Here is a 22,763-nt window from a genome sequence, read left to right as displayed (position 1 = left end):
AGCATAATCAAGATGACATCTTAATGATTACCAGGGATACTGTTTATAGAAGATGATTCCTGAAATGTATTTTATTATGGTATTGTGAACTGCTAGAAAGGGGCCTGCTTTCAAAAGCTGCTTTAAATAATTGGTATTTCATAATATGTATCCAGTATGTCATTAAGACTGCACACAGATTATTACAGTACTTTATTTATATTCAGCATCAAATTATGTAAACTTCCAGCCTAAGGTATTATAAAGTTACTTCTTGATGATGATTTATTTTGGTAATATAAAATATCCTATTCCTGCATCTTCTTCCTCTTCCCCATCATTCAGTATTAGTATTTTCCAAAGTTCATCATCATGGACTGTCTTCTTGCTTTTACACCCCACACCCCCCTTAACAATCTACTCATTCTAATGATTTTAACCACAACCTGTTCACCTAAAAAATCTATATCCTCCACAGATACTTCCAAATCATTATTTCATACCCAGACTTTTCACCCCAATTTTTGATGAAAGTATCTAATGCCTTACTTAAGAGTTCTACCTGGATATGCATCTTGAACCAAATATGTTTTACTCTTAAACTCAGCAACTTACTTCAAAATCTATTCCTCCTCCAAGACATGCACCTGAGTGCGGAGTGGGCCTATGGCCTCCACCTCACAGCTCAATCACCGGTTTTGAAGTACCATGAGTGTTATGTCCCAATGCCCTGACAAATTTGCCACTCCTCTCCAGCCCCTTTTCTCCTGCCCTAATTCACACACCCATCATCACTTTCCCGAATTATTTGAATAGCTCTTGATGTACAGGCTAGACTTCACGACTGCCTTCCAGAATTCATTCACTGCAGGCAGAATACTCTTTCTACAGCACGAGCTAATCAAGTTAGTTTTTTTTTTTTTTTTCCTAAACATCTTTCACTTTGCTCTACAGGACAAAAATCAAACTCCTTAAAATGTTATATGGGGTCTATTATGGTCTGGTCACGGTGATGCCATCCTTTGAAATTTAATCACCAAAATGTTCCCTCCACGTATAAAATACTCTCTGGCCTGCTTTCCTTCATTATGCCTTGTTTTTTCATGCTTCCAAGCCTTGGAACGTTCTATTCCTTTGCCTAAAATGTCCTTCTGACCATCCCACCCTCATCCCACCTGCCAATATCTACCCATCAGACTCCCCCTAATCACTAAGGACAATGTTAGCATCAACTTTTCTGTGAGCAAAACAAGATCCACCGCATTTGTTCCCACACCCCAGCACAGTCCTTGATTCTGCACTTTCGTAATCTGTCATGCACTCATCTAGTACAATAGGTGTTATGCTGGAATACAAGTATTTTCTGGTATATTAATTTCTCCACACAAAACTCAGATCACTTTAAGGAGAGAACATTGGAATTCAGGTCATGAGACTTGAGTCTGAACACAGGTTTTGTCAATTCCTCAGTGTACCACTTCAAAGCTGCAGGAGAAAAATACTCAATAAACTATAAGAATTACATGCTTTTAATACCTAAACATTTAACAAGCTGTTTCATATAAGTCAAAAAGTCAAGCTATTCGGTCAAATGCTTTCATCAACTGTGAAAATATGTGCTTGCAGAAATTCGTGAGTTTTGATAAGGCAAGTCTGTCGATAATTTTTATTTTCTTCTCATGGCAAGATGTCTATGAAAATCTAATTAATGTAAGCTCTGTAGGAAAGTTTATCTCCAGATCTTGATGAAGTCCAAAGTGTTTGTGGGTGGGTGGGTGTATGTATGTATAGGTGGGCTCTTAGTGTTCCAAACCTATGTAATATACTTGGTATTTATTGCTTTGGGCCATAATAAATTTAAGCAATAAGTGCATTTTATTCCTACTTTCTGCATAATACTGTGTCAGCACTGTGGACACAAAGGGTCCTGTGGGGCTCTGGAATCCAGACTTGGCAATAAGGTGGTGCAGGTCCTGCACAAATCAGCCATTAATATCTCTCCCCATCTCTAGTACTTCCTAGCACTGGGGAAACAGCAATATTAATAGTAATAAAAATAATATTTAACACTGCATTCATAATGTGCTAAGTACTTTAAAGTTAATATTAACTCAATAATCAATACTAATAATAATAATTTGAGCATCGGTCTTTTTTCTTTAGAGCTTCTTTAACTCCAGTTGAGTCAGTAACCTTGTATTTTGCAAATGCGTAGCTTGTCATGACTACCTTTAGTAGAGCAGTCATCAACTGGGTAAGTATTATTTTCCTTATTCTACAAAGGAGGCATGTAAGAGACAGAAATGGCAAATAAATTGTGTAGAAAGTGCTACTACTGAAATTTAAGCCCAGGGAGTCTAACTCCAAAGTCAGTGCTACTAAATACCACATTACAGGTTTATACTGTGGAAATTAGACCAAATAATTTATAAAAGGATACATTCAGCTCCAAGAGAGGGTTTGAGTCTATAAGAGACAAAAGCTTTGTCTTGATGTTAAGATTTATGGGCCAATTAGATGCATATATTTGAGCCTCAGGTCTTTTTAGTATCAGCCAGTGAACCTGCTCCTCTTTTCTGAGCCAGTGCCAGTCACCTGGAACTCCAGGGACCTGAAATCTTTAAAATGGATCAGTCTCTGCTGGGATTAGCCCCAGCCCAGGAATGGCTCCTTCACATGCAGGAAATGTTTGCCCTGGGGGAGAACACAGTCTAGTAGAGAAAACCAAGAGAAAACGTGGGTAAATGTTCAATCACAATGCAGAATTAAATACCAATGCAGCTAAGAGCCTGTGAATGCCACCACAGACAATAAGGAATGCATCATTCCAATATTCAGAGAGGGAGACATTCCTTTGTACTTGTGTAGTCTAGAAGGAAATGGAATCATGGACTCATCCTGGAAAGTATGGTGGTTTTCACTAGTTGTGAAGTATAGTGTAGAGTGAGGACATTCTTGATGAAAGAAACAAGGAGAACAAAGGTGTGGCATGAAAAATGTGCTTTGTATTCTCATAGGAGGATCCTGGAATATCACTTTTAGAAAAGCAGTTTAGATTACAGTGGTGACAGTATAGTCAGAAATGGTTCAAGACTAGGTGCAAATTTTTTTTTTTTTTTTTTGAGACGGAGTCTTGCTCTGTCGCCCAGGCTGGAGTGCAGTGGCGCGATCTCGGCTCACTGCAAGCCCCACCTCCCAGGTTCACGCCATTCTCCTGCCTCAGCCTCCCGAGTAGCTGGGACTGCAGGCACCCGCCACCACGCCCAGCTAATTTTTTTTTTTCTGTATTTTTAGTACAGACGGGGTTCCACTGTGTTAGCCAGGATGGTCTCCATCTCCTGACCTCAAGATCCGCCCGCCTCGCCCTCCCAAAGTGCTGGGATTACAGGCTTAAGCCACCGTGCCCGGCCAACTAGGTGCAAATTTTTAAATGCAAATATAGAGCTTTCAGCTATTCCTAACTTGTAGAACTAATTAAAACATGTTATTAATATCCAGCATTTAAAACAGAAGCCTATTCATGTGGATGCGGCTTTTAGAACAGAGAAAAAACACATGGTATCCCGACCGACCCTCCTCCCCACCATGGCTCTTAGAGTTAAGGGATTCCTGCTTATTTGTCCTGGTGTGGAAACTGTAGGATGCTTATATTGAGAGGTGACAGCATCCTGGCAGTCCTCAGAGCCCTCGCTTGCTCTCGGCACCTCCCCTGCCCGGGCTCCCACTTTGGTGGTATTTGAGGAGCCCTTCAGCCCCCCCACTGCACTGTGGGAGCCCCTTTCTGGGCTGGCCAAGGCTGGAGCCCACTCCCTCAGCTTGCAGGGAGGTGTGGAGGGAGAGGCACGAGCGGGAACCGGGGCTGCCTGCGGCGCTTGCGGGCCAGCTGGCGTTCCGGGTGGGCGTGGGCTTGGTGGGCCCCGCACTTGGAGCAGCCAGCCAGCCCTGCTGGCCCCGGGCAATGGGGGACTTAGCACCCGGGCTAGTGGCTGCGGAGGGTGTACTGAGTCCCCCAGCAGTGCTGGCCCACCGGCGCTGCGCTCAATTTCTCGCCGGGCCTTAGCTGCCTTTCCACGGGGCAGGGCTCAGGACCTGCAGCCCGCCATGCCTGAGCCTCCCACCCACTCCATGGGCTCCTGTGCCGCCCGAGCCTCCCTGACGAGCACCACCCCCTGCTCCACGGTGCCCAGTCCTATCTACCACCCAAGGGCTGAGGAATGCGAGCGCACAGCGCAGGACTGGCAGGCAGCTCCACCTGCAGCCCCAGTGCGGGATCCACTAGGTGAAGCCAGCTGGGCTCCTGAGTCTGGTGGGGACGTGGAGAGTCTTTATGTCTAGCTCAGGGATTATAAATACACCAATCAGCACCCTGTGTTTAGCTCAAGGTTTGTGAGAGCACCAATCGACACTCTGTATCTAGCTGCTCTGGTGGGGCCTTGGAGAACCTTTATGTCTAGCTCAGGGATTGTAAATACACCAATCGGCACTCTGTATCTAGCTCAAGGTTTGTAAACACACCAATCAGCACCCTGTGTTTAGCTCAAGGTTTGTGAGTGCACCAATCGACACTCTGTATCTAGCTGCTCTGGTGGGGCCTTGGAAAACCTGTGTGTGGAAACTCTGTATCTAACTAATCTGATGGGGACTTGGAGAACCTTTGTATCTAGCTCAGGGATTGTAAAGGCACCAATCAGTGCCCTGACAAAACAGGCCACTCGGCTCTACCAATCAGCAGGATGTGGGTGGGGCCAGATAAGAATAAAAACAGGCTGCCCGAGCCAGCATTGGCAACCCGCTCGGGTCCCCTTCCACACTGTGGAAGCTTTGTTCTTTCGCTCTTTGCAATAAATCTTGCTACTGCTCACTCTGGGTCTATGCTGCTTTTATGAGCTGTAACACTTACTGCGAAGATCTACAGCTTCACTCCTGAGCCCAGCAAGACCACGAGCCCACAGGGAGAAATGAACAACTCCAGACACGCTACCTTAAGAGCTGTAACACTCACCGCGAAGATCTGCAGCTTCACTCCTGAGCCAGAGAGACCACGAACCCACCAGAAGAAAGAAACTCCGAACACATCTGAACATCAGAAGGGGCAGACTCCAGACGCGCCACCTTAAGAGCTGTAACACTCACCGCGAGGGTCCACGGCTTCATTCTTGAAGTCAGTGCGATCAAGAACCCACCAATTCCGGACACAATATCTGACTCACTTTTAGAGAGATTTCAACTACCTACCTAATTCAGGCCTCAATATTGTGGAGAAGGCACGGAAATGCAGCAATAAATATTTTGTATGCTTTTCTTTATCTGAAAAAAAGTTAACATCTTTAAATATTTGCTTCCATTGAAAAAAACACCATGTATTTCTGATGTATATCTTGTGGGTTGAAATACATTCAAACAATGTAAGAAAACATACACACATAAAAAAAGGATTTTGAAAACCACTTTGTATTCTACCACCACAAAATTGCCATTGTAAATATTTTGTATGTGGTATTATCCTTCTTTCCTTTGATTGATTGATGATTTGTTTATTTACTTTTTTTACAGATAGCAAGATTATGAAGTTGACATGTCGTTGTATTTCTTTTCTTCATGGTTGGAGGGCTGTGTCGAGACATTACATGATAATGTGCAGCAGTGACTTCACTTACCTCTCTCTGTTCTCATTCTCTTTCCGTTTCTCGAGCTCTCCTTCGGTCACCCTTCCTCTGAGGCAATGCATGAAAATATTTCAGTGTGTTCATTTCTGTATTCAGTAGACATTTCCAGAGAAAAAGAACTGAAAGAAAAGGCTGAAGTGGGAGGGTATCTGGGTTTTGACATGTTTTAAGATTTGGTTCTGTGTCCTCGGCTAGGGTTTTCTAAGTTGATTGGGGATGCCCTAATTCCCACGGAGGGATGGAAGATTGACAAAAGAGAGTACTATACTACTTTGGGCCATTTTCCAAATCCAGAATGTAGCTGCATGGACTTTATTTCTGACAGCATCAACCTCATTTTTCATTTTCCCTATTTTTCCTATAATTTTCAGCAGCAATTTCTGCCACAGTTCCATCTAAAACAAAAAGATGAGGGTAATGATAGTTTGCTTTTCTGCATAGCTGGAGATACCATGAGACTATCCAGAGTTAGTAGATGCACCAGATTGACTTCTGGATTCAGGGGAAGTTTGAACCCCACTTGTGTTGCCTTTCCTTTCCAGATCCTTCCACTCCCCTCCAGAATCTTCCATTTATTTTTTTGGTTGTGAATATTGAAGCTTATGCTGCTATATTAGGCTCCTTTCCCTGTTTTTTTTTGTTAGGATTGACTGATTAATTTTGCTCATTTTGTTAGGTATTAAGGAAGAGAAGTTTACATATCTTAACCCAGAAGTTCAGAGTCTGGTAATAACAGTTGTCCCCGGATATACCAAGAACTTTGGGTATAATAATTCCATCCTTTCAGTTTCTTATGTCTCTTTATGTGCTCTTCTTGACATCAAAAATAAGAAACATTTCCTCACTTGAGCCACATTCAGAAATGGGAAAAGCACCAGGTAGAGCAATTCTTAAATCTTCTGAGTTTTTAGCCAAAAGAGTGTTTTTCCTCTTTTTTTCAAGACTATCTAAGAAATTCACCTATTAGATACTAATGTCTCCTAAGAACCTTACCTAAATCAACTTTTTCTAAGGCATACTTTAGAAAACATTATTCTAACAAAGGACATGCCAGAGACTTGAAACAGAACATCTGATGATTGTGTCACTTATTCTGACCAATACTTCTAAGGAATCTTAATGTTATTTATTTAAAGCAAAAAAAAAGATATTTAGAAACTAAAATTATCTGAGATTTATAAAAATTAAATCATGTTGTGCCATGCTGCAGAGGAATTAAAAAGGAATATACACTATAAATGAAGAATCCAGAGGACAAGTAGTAGTAATTTGGAGGAACTGAGTAGATATCAGTGATGACTACTATGGAATGAAGTAAGGATTTAGCTGTTTATTTATGCATTTAAACAGTAAAAATTTCAGCCAGAGATGAGAGATTAGAAATTTAAAAATAAATAATTAGTAAAAATTACATATTAGAGACAATCTAAATAGCCAAGGATAGTGAAAAGTTTAAATAAACCTTGGGATGTCAACATAATGGAATATTATACACTGTTAATAATAGTTGGGTCTGTAAAGATGGATTATTTATATAATGAAAAACTCACAACCTAATATTAAGTGAAACCGGTTATACATATGTATATATGGGATGATTTCAATTGTGTTAAATACATATCTGACTTCTTATCAAACTGGAAGTAATTATACTAACATTTTAGAAGTGTTTATTTCTAGCTTGTGGGCTTTAGGGTATTTATTTTCTTTTTTATATCTTGTTATTTTTCTTCCTTGAAGGGTGCTGTGTGCTCATTAAATATGAAGTATTCTTTCTCTCAGAATGCAATAAGACTTTTGAACAGAGGAATGGCATGACTTGATTTATGTTGAGGAAAGCTCTGACTTCCCGGTGGAGAATAGGCTGTAGACGTGGAGAGCAGGTAGGAGGCTACTGCAATGACCTGGATGACAGATGATAGGGGTTTGGACTAGGGTTACAGTAAAAAAGTGGTAAGATATGGAAAATGTGTGATATATTTTTAAGGTAGAGCCAACAAAATCTGTCCATGGTTAAATGTGTAGTGTGTGAGAAAAAAAAAGACCCCCGGAGGGTGTCTATCTTTTTGATTAACATGAGGTATACATAAATACCTCATATATTTAATAAGCACACATTACCCTTAAAGGAAGAAAAATGTATTTTATGTTAATTTACATTAATGAAGCAACAATAAAGAAGTCATCTTTATCAGATGTCTTAATGAAGAAAGCTGAAAAAAAGATCAAGAAGCACTTTCAATGAAAAAACTACAAACATTTTGCCAGGAGACCAAGGCTATGAAAAGATCAAAGAATGAAGCTTTAAAGTCCTAGTCATCTTTCTAGATGAAAGAAAATGAAGATTTTCCTGTGTCTAGAATGAAAAGCCAAGGCTTAATTAAGTAGCAGTTGGAAATGATTGAGTACTGGTGAATGAAATTTAGGGTCTCACAAAATTTTAGATTTAGTTCAGAGTTCAGAAGTCATCCAATCCAACCTTTGGATAGGTTCTAGAATCCATTCTTCAGTACAATTGATAAATGGTCATCCAATTGCTGTTTGATTACCTCCAGTTGACATGTAACTCATCACCTTTGGAGATAGTCTGCTCTTGTGTCACAATTCTAGATGTTAGAACATTCCCTCTTATGTGGCATTGAAATTGGAGTCCCTGTAACTTCCACTCATCCATCCTAATTAAGACTCGAAGAGTTTGAACAGGTGGGAAAAAAATTTTAATCAGTGAAAATATTGATACATTTCCATAGAATTTAGGAGAGAAAATCTGAAGAATTTATAGGTGTAAGTCAATTTTTGTCTTCGACACAGAAGTGTTTCTAATATTTAATGGCATGCCTCTTTTTAATCCTCTGCTCTCCAGAATGATTATCTTCAGTTACATGAGACAATTTTTGTGTGACATGGTTTCCAAGACCCTAACAGTCCAGGGAGTCCTCTTTTAGAAGCTGTGCTGAGTGGTTCAATCGACTGGTTGGAACTAGTTCTTTCTGGGAACTGTGTTTTCTATATTCCCCTTTCCTGTAAGGTTAGAGTTAGAGCTGCCAAAAGAGGAACTCACATGAGATTCAGAGGAAGTAGGAGTCATCACACTCTGAAGATGTTCACAGGCAATACAGTGATGAAAATATGCTTGGAGGGTTTCAGCTCGTGCTCACTCTGCTGTGCTCCACATTCAAATCTCCTTCCTGACTGCTGGCCCTGTTGTGCAAGAGTAGCCCCCAGCCCACAACCAGACACTTAGGGGAAGACACACAGTCAACATAGACTCAATAACCAATGCTGCCCATAGATATAATGTGAACCCGGTATATAATTTTAAATTTTCTAGCAGCCACATTAACAAGGCAGAAGAAAACAAACAAGTGAAAGTCGATTTTAATATGTTTAGTATAACCCATTATAAATAAAATGTTATCAATTCAACACATAGACAATATTAAAAATATCTAATGAAACACCAAGGAGTCCAGTGGGTGAGGTGGAAGGAGATGGGGATGAGGGAGAAGTGTAATGAAGAGCCAGATTGTGCAGGATGCAGTAGACCATGATAATGGTGTGGGACTTTTTCTCAGAATGCAAGAAGACTTTTGAGCAGAGGAATGGCACGACTTGATTCACATTGAGGAAAGCTCTGACTCCTCAGTGGAAAATAGGCTGTAGAAGTGGAAAGCAGGTAGGAGGCTACTGCAGTGACCTAGATGATAGATGATGGGGGCTTGGACTAGGGTTACAGTATAAAAGTGATAAGGTATGGAAAATGTGTGCTATATTTTCAAGGTAGAGCCAACAAAATCTGTCCATGGTGAAACGTGTAGTGAGAGAGATAGAGAAGAAAGACCCTATCTTTTGGGATTAAGCACCTAAAAAATATAGTGTCATTTACTATGAAGAAGGAGACTAAGAAAGAGCAGGTTTGTTTTGATTGGTCCAGCATACATTATGATTTTAAACATTTATTCTTTTATCTTTGTCATTTTAATAAACACACGTTTATCTAAACTGCAGGCATAAACTTTGAGCTAAGGAGAGCTAATTACTGAGTCCATGGTCCCACTCAGCCTAATACCCAGGCATTGCCATTATACTCGGAATATACTTAATTTGTCTTATTCCACTATTTTCCATCAAAAATACATTTACACATCTTGTTCGCAACTATAAAACTCACACAGTCTCATGTTTCATGTATAGCATTACTTTGAATTCCCAAAATCATGGCCCCATTTCTTCCTTCCCTACGTAACCTGGACTACCAATTCACGAATTCTTGCCTGTACCCTCCAGTGCCTAAACCTCTTGTCTTTTCAGCCCATGAGAATTACCGGTCCCTAACCTGTGATTAATCCAACCATCTGCTTGCGCAACAGAAATTCATAAGCTGCCAAACACTGCTTGGGAAAAATTGCATAACTGTACTGCTTGGACTTATTGCATATTTACCATTTCCAAACTCAACTTAGTCCTCAGTACAGCTTGGCAATCCTTATGTCTGTATTCATTCAGATATTTTTCCTATTCACCAAGGTGACCATTTTATAACTTCACACTCCTGCGCAAGCTTTCACTTTCATATCCAGGAGAAAAAAACTACTTACCGCTTTCCAGAAAACAAAATGAATACTCTATGCACTAAATTTATTCAAATGTCCTTCTCTGATTCCAACATTACATATATTTACTCTCACCTTCACCTGCCTTATTACTGTCATATTTCTCTTTTGCCCATCATCGAAAACTTCCTTCCACTCACTACATAAATCCCATGCCTTGTTCATGGCTCTGGGTCTTTCCAGATGCAATTTCATCATCTTCAACGATTTCTATTGTTTCAACGTCTACACAGTTTTCAAAGTGCAATGGAAATGTTGTTTGCCAGTGAAACCCCACCCCCAAACCAGCTGCCATAGACAAAGATGGCAAATCCCTCCTCTTTATTGTCGTAGTATGCTATTGAGACACAAATTATAGCACTCCTTATATTTTGCTACAATTATGTGTGTTATCTATTTCTGCCACTAAATCTAAGACTTTGATGGAGCAGACCTTTTGTTATTGGTCTATGTGTATTCAATTCAAAAGCATGCAAAGTGGTTTTTATATTCTCTCACTGAACAACAACAATCAACAATCAACACAGACAACTTCTGTGACCAAATTTGGTGGAGAGGGCTGGGTTCTACCCATCACTAAGCAAGCAATCAGTTCTGCAGTGGATAAATGGGTGTCCTCCAATTTAATTCTGACACTATGTAGCTGGAGATAGCATCACATCCCACAGATTGAGGGTTCAGTCCCTAAGACTGCCCCCTTCCCCAGACACCAACAATTGCTAGTTTGGGCCTCCAGAACTTCTGACCCACTGGCTTCAAGTTGGGGTTCTCAAGATCTTCTCTTTGGGTTTGATTAATTTGCCAGAGCACCTCACAAAATTCAAGGAAACATGTTTACTGGTTTATTATAAAAGGCATTACAAAGAATACAGATGAAGAGATGCACAGGGTGAGGTATGAGGAAAGGGGCATACAGAGCTTCCATGCCCTCCCTGGGTGGCACTCTTCAGGAACCTCCCTGTATTCAGCTATCTACAAATCTCTGAACCCTGTCTTTCGGGCTTTCATGGAGGCTTCATTATGTAGGCATGATTGGTTAAACCATTGGCCATTGGTGATCAACTCAATCTTCAGTCTCTCTCTCCTCCCTGGAGGTTAGGAGGTGGGACTGAAAGCCCCAGCCCTCTAATTCTCCACTGGTTTTCTGGTGACCAGCCCCTAGTTCTGAAGCTACCTAGAGGCTGCCAGCCCTACGTCAACTCATTAGCATACAAAAAGACATCACTCAGGCATTTTTAAAGATTTTAAAAGTTGAATGCCAGGAAATGGGATACATAACATTTACATACCAAATACCAAATACGTATTTCACAATATCACAATACTGTATAGATTTTTTTGACAAGAGTTTGCTTGGAGATGTGCTGGACAGAGGCAAGGCTGTGGTGATGACAGTCTTAAAAAGATGTTTTGTGTTGGACACAAGAGAGCATTTTTCATTGGTTACAGAAGTGAAATTGATCCATGCCTGTCAGCCTTAGAAGTGTGTTCATTTCAGTAAAGCTGAATGGAGTGTACTTTCTTAAGTGTGGACTCACATTGAGAAATCCATGCTATGGAAGCTGACTTCCATAGTATAAGGCTATAACTGATTGGTTGACTTTTACTGATAAGATACAGGAAAAGGAAAATAACGTGACTATCACAAGTGCCACTGCTTGGTGTTACACAGTCTCCTCTGCAAAGTTTACCTTTGGCTTGAAAGAATAAACCAATAAACATATTAATGCAAGGAACTTTCCAAATTGGGAGCTATCCACAAGGCTGCTTTTCCATTTCTGGTCTATTAAGTAATGTCACATTATCCTTGAAAGCAATAACACAGGAATTCATGTTTGCTGAGGAAGCTCCTTTGAAATTTGTCTCGAAGCACAGAGAGCAGGAAAGATAAGCAAGCTGACATATATTTAACCAGTGTGTATATCACCTTCCATTTATTATCAATTAATTTCCAAAACTGAGAGGTGACAACGTGCTAGGAGCCCTTGCTCGCTCTTGGCACCTCCTCAGGCCTCGGCATCCACTCTGGCCATGCTTGAGGAGCCCTTCAGCCCCCCGTTGCACTGTGGGAGCCCCTCTCTGGGCTGGCCGAGGCCTCAGCCGGCTCCCTCTGCTTGTGGGGAGGTGTGGAGGGAGAGGTGCGGGCGGGAACTGGGGCTGCGTCTGGCACTCACAGGCCAGTGTGAGTTCCAGGTTGGCGTGGGCTCCGCGGGCCCTGCACTCGGAGCTTCCCGCCAGCACTGCCACCAGCCCTGGGCAGTGAGTGGCTTACCACCCAGGACAGCAGCTGCAGAGGGTGCGCTGGGTCCCCCAGCACTGCCGGCCCATCCGTGCCTCACTCAAATTCTCACCAGGCATCAGCCGCCTCCCTGCGGGGCAGGGCTCGGGACCTGCAGCCTGCCATGCCCGAGCCCCCACCCCCCGGCCCCCCTGGGCTCCCACACGGCCCAAGCCTCCCTGACGGGCACCGCCCCCTGCTCCATGGTGCTGTGTCCCATTGACCGCCCAAGGGCTGACGAGTGCAGGCACACTGTGCAGGACTGGTGGGCAGCTCCACCCACAGCCCCAGCACGGGATCCACTAGGGGAAGCCAGCTGGGCTCCTGAGTTGGGTGGGGACTTGTAGCACTTTTATGTCTAGCTAAAGGATTGTAAATGCACCAATCAGCACTATGTGTCTAGGTCAAGGTTTGTAAATGCACCAATCAGTGCTCTGTGTCTAACTAATCTAGGGGGGACTTGGAGAACTTCTGTGTCTAGCTAAAGGATTGTAAATGCACCAATCAGCACTCTGTGTCTAGCTCAAGCACCAATCAGCACCCTGTCAAAATGGACCAATCAGCTCTCTGTAAAATGGGCCAATCTGCTCTCTGTAAAATGGACCAATCAGCAGGATGTGGGTGGGGTCAGATAAGGGAATAAAAGCAGGCTGCCCCAGCTAGCAGCTGGAACCTGCTTAGGTCCCCTTCCGCGCTGTGGAAGCTTTGTTCTTTTGCTCTTTGCAATAAATCTTGCTGCTGCTCACTCTTTGGGTCTGTGTCACCTTTATGAGCTGTAACACTCACCGTGAAGGCTGCAGCTTCACTCCTGAAGCCAGCGAGACCATGAACCCACTGGGAGGGACAAACAACTCCTCCGGACGGGAAGAACGAACGACTCCAGATGCGCCGCCATTAAGAGCTGTATCACTCACAGTGAAGGTGTGCAGCTTCACTCCTGAAGCCAGCAAGACAACAAACCCACCAGGAGGAAGAAACTCCGGACACATCTGAACATCTGAAGGAATAAACTCTAGACACACCATCTTTAAGAACAGTAACACTCACTGCGAGGGTCTACGGCTTCATTCTTGAAGTCAGCGAAACCAAGAACCCACCAATTCCGGACACAAAACCACCAAATAAGGTAGATGTTCTTATGTTCATTTATGTGAAAAGATTAGAACTTAAGTAAGAGTTTCAATCTCATATAGTTAGTGACAAAATTAGAATTCAAACCCAGGTCATAGCCAAAATTTTTTCCTGTTTTGTATCATACTCCCAGACCTAAGGAAAAGTAAGAATGCCTTTGAAGAAATCAGCCTGGAGAGAACAAGCAGTGGAAGCTGGGAAAGTCTCTACCAGTGTTCCTGACATGGAAAAGAAGCTGTGCCAAAATCTATAATATTTCTGAACCTCTTCTCCATTGACTGATTGTTTTTATAGTTATAGAATAAAAATTCAAATCTTACATATTAGAAAGTTACACAATCTCAACAGTTCCTGCCATTCTCAGGGAGATGTTTGCTGTACAAAAAGTCACACTACAAATCAGTGTGGTATAATTAGGTTCTAGTGGGTATCTATAACCAGTTACTTCAACAGATTCACATAAAAAATGAGTATATGACTCGATAATTCTATCTATACCATGTTTTTTTTTTTTTTTTTTTTTTGAGACGGAGTTTCGCTCTGTCGCCCAGGCTGGAGTGCAGTGGCGCGATCTCGACTCACTGCAAGCTCCGCCTCCCGGGTTCACGCCATTCTCCTGCCTCAGCCTCCCGTGTAGCTGGGACTACAGGCGCCCGCCACCACGCCCGGCTAATTTTTTGTATTTTTAGTAGAGACGGGGTTTCACCGTGTTAGCCAGGATGGTCTCGATCTCCTGACCTCGTGATCCGCCCGCCTCGGCCTCCCAAAGTGCTGGGATTACAGGCGTGAGCCACTGCGCCCGGCCTATACCATGTATTTTTAAATGATCAAAATAAACCTATAAGGCTCTATAAAGGACATCAAAAAACAAAAAACAAATCTAGCTAGCTTACATTTTTTAAGGTTTTCTGGGAGTCATATGTACTACTGTAGTAAGCACTTAAAACAAGAATGGGTTATAAAAATGGAGAGAAGAATGGAGTTAATAATTTTTTAGGATGGGCACGGTGGCTCATGCCTGTAATCCCAGCACTGTGGGAGGCCGAGGTGGATGATCATTTGAGGTCAGGAATTCAAGACCATCTTGGCCCACATCGTGAAACCCTGTCTCTACTAAAAATATAAACATTAGCCAGGCAGTAGTGGCACACGCCTGTAATCCCAGCTACTTGGGAGGGTGAAGGAGGAGAATTGCTTGAGCCTGGGAGTCAGAGGTTGCAGTGGCCAAGATCGTGCCACTGCACTCCAGTCTGGGCAACAGAGTAAGACTCTGTCTCAATAATAATAATAATGATAAAAATAATTTTTAATGCATGTCATGAAGTCTTATTTACTAACTTTGGACAGATCACAAATTTAACTCCAGTTATTTTAAATTCTAAACCAGAGAAAACTATTTTAAAATTCATATGGAACCAAAAAAGGGCCCATATAGCCAAGGCAATCCTAAGCAAAAAGAACAATGCTGGAGGCATCACCCTGCCCGACTTCACACTATACTACAGGGCTATAGTACCAAAACAGCATGGTACCAGTACAACAGAAACACAGACCAATGGAACAGAATAGAGAATGCAGAAATAAGACCACCCACCTACAACTATCTGATCTTCAACAAACCTGACAAAAGCAAGCAATGGGGAAAGGATTCCCTATTCAGCAAATGGTGCTGGGAGAACTGGCTAGTCATATGCAGAAAATTGAAACTGGACCTCTTTCTTATACCATATACAAAAATCAACTCAAGGTGGGTTAAAGACTTAAATGCAAACCCCAAAACTATAAAAACTCTGGAATACAACCTAGACAATACCTTTCAGGACATAGACACAGGCAAAGATTTCATGACAAAGACACCAAAAGCAATTGCAACAAAAGCAAAAAATTGACAAATGACATCTAATTAAACTAAAGAGCTTCTGCACAGCAAAAGAAACTATCAACAGAATAAACAGACAACCTACAGAATGGGAGAAAATTTTTTGCAAACTGTGCATCCAAAATAGGTCTAATAGAAGGAACTTAAACAAATTCACAAGAATAAAACAAACAACTCCATTAAAAAGTAGGTAAAGGGCATGCACAAACACTTCTCAAAAGAAGACATTCATGCAGCCAACAATCATATGAAAAAAAGCTCAACCTCACTGATCATTAGAGAAATGAAAATAAAAACCACAAAGAAATACCATCTCACGCCAGTCAGAATGGCTATTACTAAAAAGTAAAAAAATACAGTAACAGATGCTGGCAAGGTTGTGGAGAAAAAGGAATGCTTTTACACTATTGGTGGGAGTGTAAATTAGTTTAACTATTGTGGAAGATAGTGTAGAAATTCCTCAAAGACCTAAAGACAGAAATATGATTTGACCCAGTGATCCCATTACTGGGTATATATCCAAAAAAATAATTCCATTATAAAGACACATGCACACTTACGTTCATTGCAGCACTATTCACAATAACCCATCAATGATAGATTAGATATCATCTAGCCCATCAATGAAAGACTAGATAAAGAAAATATGGGTCGGGGCAGTGGCTCACGCCTGTAATCCCAGCACTTTGAGAGGCCGAAGTGGGCGGATTACGAGGTCAGGAGACCGAGACCATCCTGGCCAACATGGTGAAAGCCCGTCTCTACTAAAAACACAAAAATTAGCTGGCTATGGTGGCACACACCTGTAGTCCCAGCTACTCAGGAGGCTGAGGCAGGAGAATCACTTGAACCCGGGAGACAAAGGTTGCAGTGAGCTGAGATCACACCACTGCACTCCAGCCTGGTAACAGAGAGAGACTCCATCTCAAGAAAAGAAGAAAAAGAAAAAAAGAAAACCTGGTACATATACTCCACAGAGTACTATGCAGCTATAAAATAAACAAGAAGATCATGTCCTAACACTGGAACAGAAAGCCAAATACCTCATCTTCTCACTTATAAGTGGGAGCTAAATGATGAGAACACATGGACATATAGAGGGGAACAACACACACTGGGGCCTGTTGGAGGGTGGAGGTTTGGAGGAGGAAAAGGATCAGAAAAAATAGCTAATGGATACTAGGCTTAAGACACAGGTGATGAACTAATGTGTGCAACAAACCCGCAAAACACACTTTTACCTATGGAACAAACCTGCACATCCTGCACATATATGCCTGAACTTAAAAGTTAAACAAAACAAAACAAAACAAAGATTTAGTGTTACTCTTAATAATACAATAATAGCTCAGACTTAGTACTACAGCTTTTAATTGCCAAAGGAAGGAGTGAAACATGATGATACCACAATTTAGTACATACACATTGAAAGCAAATCAGATTATCAGAGCAGAAGAACTTTTTTGATACTAAACCAATAATCCAATTTATTTTCTGAATATTCAGAAGCACAGCATTGAGTAATAGCTTTAAAAGTTACCTTATAGAGGACATAACAACTACTTTCATTAAATTGTTTCATATAGCACATCCAGGTATTTTTAGTATTTCAATATATTTCTATTAACAAGTGGCAAACATAGCAAAGTGACTGGGCGTGGTGGCTCATGCCTGTAATCCCAGCACTTTGGGAGGCCGAGGCGGGTGGATCATCTGAGGTCAGGAGTTCGAGACCAGCCTGGCTAACATGGTAAAACCCTGTCTCTACTAAAAATACAAAAATTAGCCAGGTGTGGTGGCGGGTGCCTGTAATCCCATCTACTCGGGAGACTGAGGCAGGAGACTCTCTTGAACCCAGGAGGCAGAGGTTGCAGTGAGCCGAGATCATGCCACTGCACTCCAGCCTGACCAATACAGTGAGATTCCATCTCAAAAAGAAAAGAAGGAAGGAAGAAAGGAAGGAAGAAGGGGAAGGAAGGAAGACAGAAAGAAGAAAGAAAGAAAAGAAAAGAAAAAAAGAAAGAAGGAAAGAAGGGAAGGAAAAGAAAGAAAGAGAAAAGTATATTCAGGATATTAAATGAGGGTTTAGTCTTTTTCATTAATTATTTATTTTTGAATAAATCACATATAGCACAAAACACAAAAAGTAGAATGAAAGTTCCTCCTTACCCTGTCCTCTAGCGACCCAATTCCCAATGGGTAGGAACTGATATTTAAAACTATAATTCAATAAAAGTTCTCTGAAATAGAGGAAGGCCTAGATCTACATATTGAATGGATCTATCATTTATCAAAAGAAAAAAAATCAATCCAGAAAGGTCAACTGTGAGACATATCCTAGTAAAATTATTGAAATTTAAAAGAAAAGATCCCTCTGGGTTTCCAAGCAAAATCAAAAAGTCATTTACAAAGGAAGGAAAATCAGGTTGGCATCACAATTCTTGTCAGCAACGGTCAAAGCAAGTAAACAGTGCAATAGCACTGCCCATAAACTTAAAGGGAGAAATGTAAGGAAAAGATTTTATATCCAGCCACACTGTTTTTCAGATATTAAAGACATCCAGGAGTCTTTCCTGGTAATCTACTAAAAGATGAATTTAATTTAACAAAGAGATCATTAGGGAAACCAGTGAAATAACTGGTAATGATGATTAAATATGCTTAATTAAATGACCAAAATAAACCTACAAGGCTCTATAAACTACATCAAAAAATGAAAAACAAATCTAGCCAGCTTACATTTAGATCTATGACTATAACATAGGTGAGAATGAGAGAGAAAAATTAGTATGTAAATATTATTTGCTCTGTCAAAATCAAAATAACACAAAAAGAAATAAAATTGAGTGAAAATATAATATGTTCATTGACTGCTGTAAAGATAATAGGTAGAAATAAAAGGAAATTAAGGGTGACAGAGGAGTAAAAATCTAAGGACGAAGACCATTAAATGCAAGTATCAAAATAAGATAATACTTTTTGAAAATACAAATCTTTCTAAACACAAAAAAGTATTACAAAATAAAAGAAAACATTTAATTTAAAAAGCAAAGAAGGCCAGGCGCAGTGGCTCATACCTGTAATCCCAGCACTTTCAGAGGCTGAGGCAGGTGGATCACGAGGTCAGGAGATTGAGACCATCCTGGCTAACAGTGAAACCCCATCTCTACTAAAAACACAAAAAATTAGCTGGATGTGGTGGCGGGCGCCTGTAGTCCCAGCTACTCGGGAGGCTGAGGCAAGAGAATGGCATGAACCTGGGAGGCGGAGCTTGCAGTGAGCTGAGATCGCGCCACTGCACTCCAGCGTGGGGGACAGAGGGAGACTCGTCTTTTGAATAAACATAGAATTTAACCCTCTCAGTCTCAAAACTTGAGAAAGTTACATTTGTCTTATCTGAGTTCCTTTTTCAGGAAACTAACTATCAGGCTCCCAGATAGTATCAAGGAACTGACACACTTATCGGATCACCTTATCTGCACAATGAGCCCTCAGACTCCTCACTCATCATGATTGCCTAAGTGGCCATCTGCTTCCTGTTGACCAACCCCTCTTCTTTACCCCTCCCTAATTCCTGTCCTCCTGCATGTAGTTACAATTCTTCCCTGCTATATAAACTACTATTTTTAATCAGTCAGGGAGATGGATTTGAGACTGATCTCCCATTTCCTTGGCAGTAGCACCCCATTAAAGCCTTCTTCCCTGGCAGTACTCATCTCAGTGACTAGCTTTCTGTGCAGTGAGCAGCAGGACCTAGACCGAACCCCTGGTGTTTCAGTAACACTACAGAATGAAAGATACCCAGTAAATATTATGTTATGAATTATTATCTGCAGATAAAAAAATCAAATATCTATCAAATTACTACATGTGAATAGGCTCAACTTATCTGTTTTTAAAAAATTCAGATTGACTTAAAAGTCAAAATGCAATATTCTACAAGACAATTTATTTCTTTGAAAAGTCATTCTCATTCTTCTGCAATTTCTTATCATGAGCATTTGTCAATATCAGCTTTATTCCATTTATACCATACATTTGCAAAACAAGTTTTTATCACTCAAATCTTGCTGTTCCAAATTCAGGTCTTCAGAAGCAATTTTACCTTGGTTGTTTATTAAAGTAGAGAAAAATGAGCAAATGTTTGCTATTGAGGAAAATAAAGAAAAGAAAATCCATCATATAATTCATTTTATTCTTACATGCTAAACGGTTCCAGGCTTTCTCTTTTTATTTCTTACTAACTTGCCTCAGCTTTTTAAGACTAAATACAAAAAAAAAAATTAATGAACACTTCACAAAAAGATAATTATTTTAGAGTCTCTCTGTTTCCTTGCTATGTAGTCATAAGCAAATCGCTAATCTCAATCTCTTCTAAAATGTTTACATCCTTCCTATATTGCAGGAAATAAAATTTAACTTATTTTATAAGTCATCTATAAGTAATATAAACTGGCTGGGCACAGCGGCTCACACCTGTAATCCCAGCACTTTGGGAGGCCGAGGCGGGCGAATCACAAGATCAAGAGATCAAGACCATCCTGGTCAACATGGTGAAACCCCATCTCTACTAAAAATGTGAAAATTAGCTAGGCATGGTGGTGCGTGCCTGTAGTCCCAGCTACTTGGGAGGCTGAGGCAGGAGAATCGCTTGAACCCAGGAGGTGGAGGTTGCAGTGAGCCAAGATCTCACCACTGCACTCCAGCCTGGTGACAGAGTGAGACTCCCTCTCAAAAAATAATAATAATAATAATAGATAAGTAATATAAACTACTGCTACTTACATATTTTATAGAATTTTTACTGACTTTAAATTAAATAATATTCCCATGCAGAAATGCTGGAATATACAGATGTGAAAAAGAAACAATAGTAAAATCAGCCACAATTCTACAACTACAGCTACTCTCTCACCACCATGAAATAGAAACCTGTGTAACTGCCACCAGGCTTGTGTGCAGCCTGCTGCCCCCTTCATCAGCTCTGTGATGTTTAAGTAGAGATGCACCATGCAGGGGACATGGATGTGGGTGGGAAAAGGCAAAACAAAGGCTCTAGTTGCATGATAGGCACTGGCACCTGGTAACCCAGGCCAGAGGTGGAACAGAGGTTGAATATACAAGTAAGAAAGTAGCATTAGATAAACTATAATCTACTTAGACTTTTAACAGAAAGTCATTTTGTGACCTCCTAGTTTTCTCTTCATTGCAGAGAGTCAGAAATAGAAAATATATTTCTCTAAAATATTAATGCATATAATTTTTCAAATTACAAATAATAGAGGTTCCATGGAAAAAAATAAGTAATATGAAAAAGTACAAACAAAAAGAATTTAAAACCCTAGCTTATCTCATCACCAAACACTGCCAACATGTCTTGTCACCAACAAGCCTTTTCAACATGTTGTTAGGGGTCAATATAAAGATATTACCTATAGAAAGAATGAACCATTACCTATTATTGTGTCCCCTCATCGTCTTCTTAGTTACAGTCAGTTAGAGTTGGTCCTTAAACACAACTTAGTCACAGTTATATTGAGTGATTTCTGAGTATTAAGAGAGTTAATTACTCCAGCTTAAAAACTAATTGCTGGTTGATACAAAAATCAATTAGGTTGCTAAATATCCAGCTTTCACAATCATAAAATCTTTCCTACCTCCACATATTTCTGTTTGGATTAGGTTGGATGACTCCTCAGTTTCCTTCTAGCACTAAAAGGTGATTTTCTGAAAAGTAATACAGAAACTAAGACATTCACTTATAAGTTAGTTTTGGTGAGACATTCTTAAAGTTAACAAAAAATTGATTCAAACCATTTCTTCTAATGTATTTTGACATTTGCTCTTTCAGCATGAAGTTAGTTACCAAGCAAAAGCAGGTTCTTAATAATTTATGTTGTCTACTTTGAATGTGATTACTCACAGGAGTCTGCAGAAATGAATCAATACTTGCTTAGCTTCTCAAAAAAGTAAATCGGAGATGATTGTTACAGTCATGCACGTTAATTTAGGCTGCCAAATTAATTTCTCAACACTCCTTATGCTACGACAGTCTTAATTAAGAAACAACTAAGGTTGCCTTTTCTTCTTATAGGTACTGCTGAGCCATTGGCTCTGAACAAAGTCATTTAACCCCTTTGATGTACGAGATTTAAAAAAAACAACAAAGAGGCTGGGCACGGTGGCTCACGCCTGTAATCCCAGCACTTTGGGAGGCTGAGGCGGGTGGATCACAAGGTCAGGAGATCAAGATCATCCTGGCCAACATGGTGAAACTCCATCTCTACTAAAAATACAAAAATTAGCGGGCATGGTGGCACGCATGGTAGTCCCAACTACTCAGGAGGCTAAGGCAAGGAGAATTGCTTGAACCCGGGAGGCAGAGGTTGCAGTGAGCTGAGATCACACCACTGCACTCCACCCTGGACAACAAACAGAGCAAGACTCCATCTCAAAACAAACAAAATGAGAAAATCTACAAAGTATTATATATTGTATACTGTACATCTGTAAAAGGGCTTTACAGTGAACAAAGTGATTCCATGCTCTATTTCTGTAATCTATTTTCTGTTCTGCGAGATGTAACCTAGGCCTCCTGGGAAGCTATTTTAATGTGGTATGGATCTTGACAGTGTCCAATCCCAAGCTCCATATTTTCAGAGGATCACTGACAAATTAGAGTGTCTCAAAGAGAGAAGTCTGACGAATTGTGATAAGAGGGATGGGGACTGGATCCCTTGAAGGAACTGGAAATATTTAACCAAAAGATAAGATGGTGTGGTATCATAATAATTTCGGGGATCCTCTTTTGTTCAAATGCCTGTTACATGGTAAAGTGCTTAATTTTATATCTTGTTCCAGATGGCAGAATTGGCACTGATTATTGGTAATTACAAGGAGGTAGATAAGATTCAACATAAGAATCTTTTGACAATATACAGGGCTGCCTACCCAGGAGTGAGCTTCCTGATGTTAAGGCACTTCCTGAAGGACCACTTAGATGGAGTAAGGGAGAGTTATCTGAGGCCCACTGTCTCAGGCTTTCAATAAATTAAAATGTCAATGAATCACTCATTCATGAGACAGCCTTGTCTTTGTGGTCCAGACCCCATTTTGACCCTTATTATCACTGTAAGATGAACATCTCAAGTCTCCAAAAGACAAGGAAATGTCAAAAGGCCTGGCAGTTTCCTTATTACATGCCAAGCCATACTTAG

At 40.7% G+C, this 22,763-nt stretch overlaps 1 long non-coding RNA gene across 2 annotated transcripts in view, besides 1 other annotated feature; it reads right to left on the bottom strand.

The window, feature by feature from the left end:
- The window catches only part of LINC03109 (long intergenic non-protein coding RNA 3109), a 66,028-nt gene that overhangs the window by 3,975 nt on the left and 39,290 nt on the right, over nucleotides 1-22,763 (bottom strand). The window contains exons 5-7 of one of the 2 annotated variants that reach the window (XR_002959654.2): nucleotides 8,707-8,846; nucleotides 5,637-5,764; nucleotides 4,982-5,286 (exon numbers count right to left, since the gene is read on the bottom strand). This is a non-coding gene — a long non-coding RNA (long intergenic non-protein coding RNA 3109). Of the gene's footprint in view, nucleotides 1-4,981; nucleotides 5,287-5,636; nucleotides 5,765-8,706; nucleotides 8,847-20,814; nucleotides 21,274-22,763 lie in introns of those variants that run through there. The other variant, XR_001740975.2, reaches the window with a different exon arrangement.
- Nucleotides 8,696-8,775: an enhancer, noted in NCBI's record as "active region_20717". NCBI's record gives its function as "activates an Ori minimal core promoter by ATAC-STARR-seq in GM12878 lymphoblastoid cells {active_cell/tissue: GM12878}" and the evidence as "EXISTENCE:reporter gene assay evidence [ECO:0000049][PMID:35858748]".

The sequence above is a fragment of the Homo sapiens genome, chromosome 3 (assembly GCF_000001405.40).
Source record: "Homo sapiens chromosome 3, GRCh38.p14 Primary Assembly".
Classification (NCBI taxonomy): domain Eukaryota; kingdom Metazoa; phylum Chordata; class Mammalia; order Primates; family Hominidae; genus Homo; species Homo sapiens.
The sequence above is the reverse complement of the archived record's forward strand: the minus strand, read 5'-3'. Positions and strand labels throughout refer to the sequence as shown.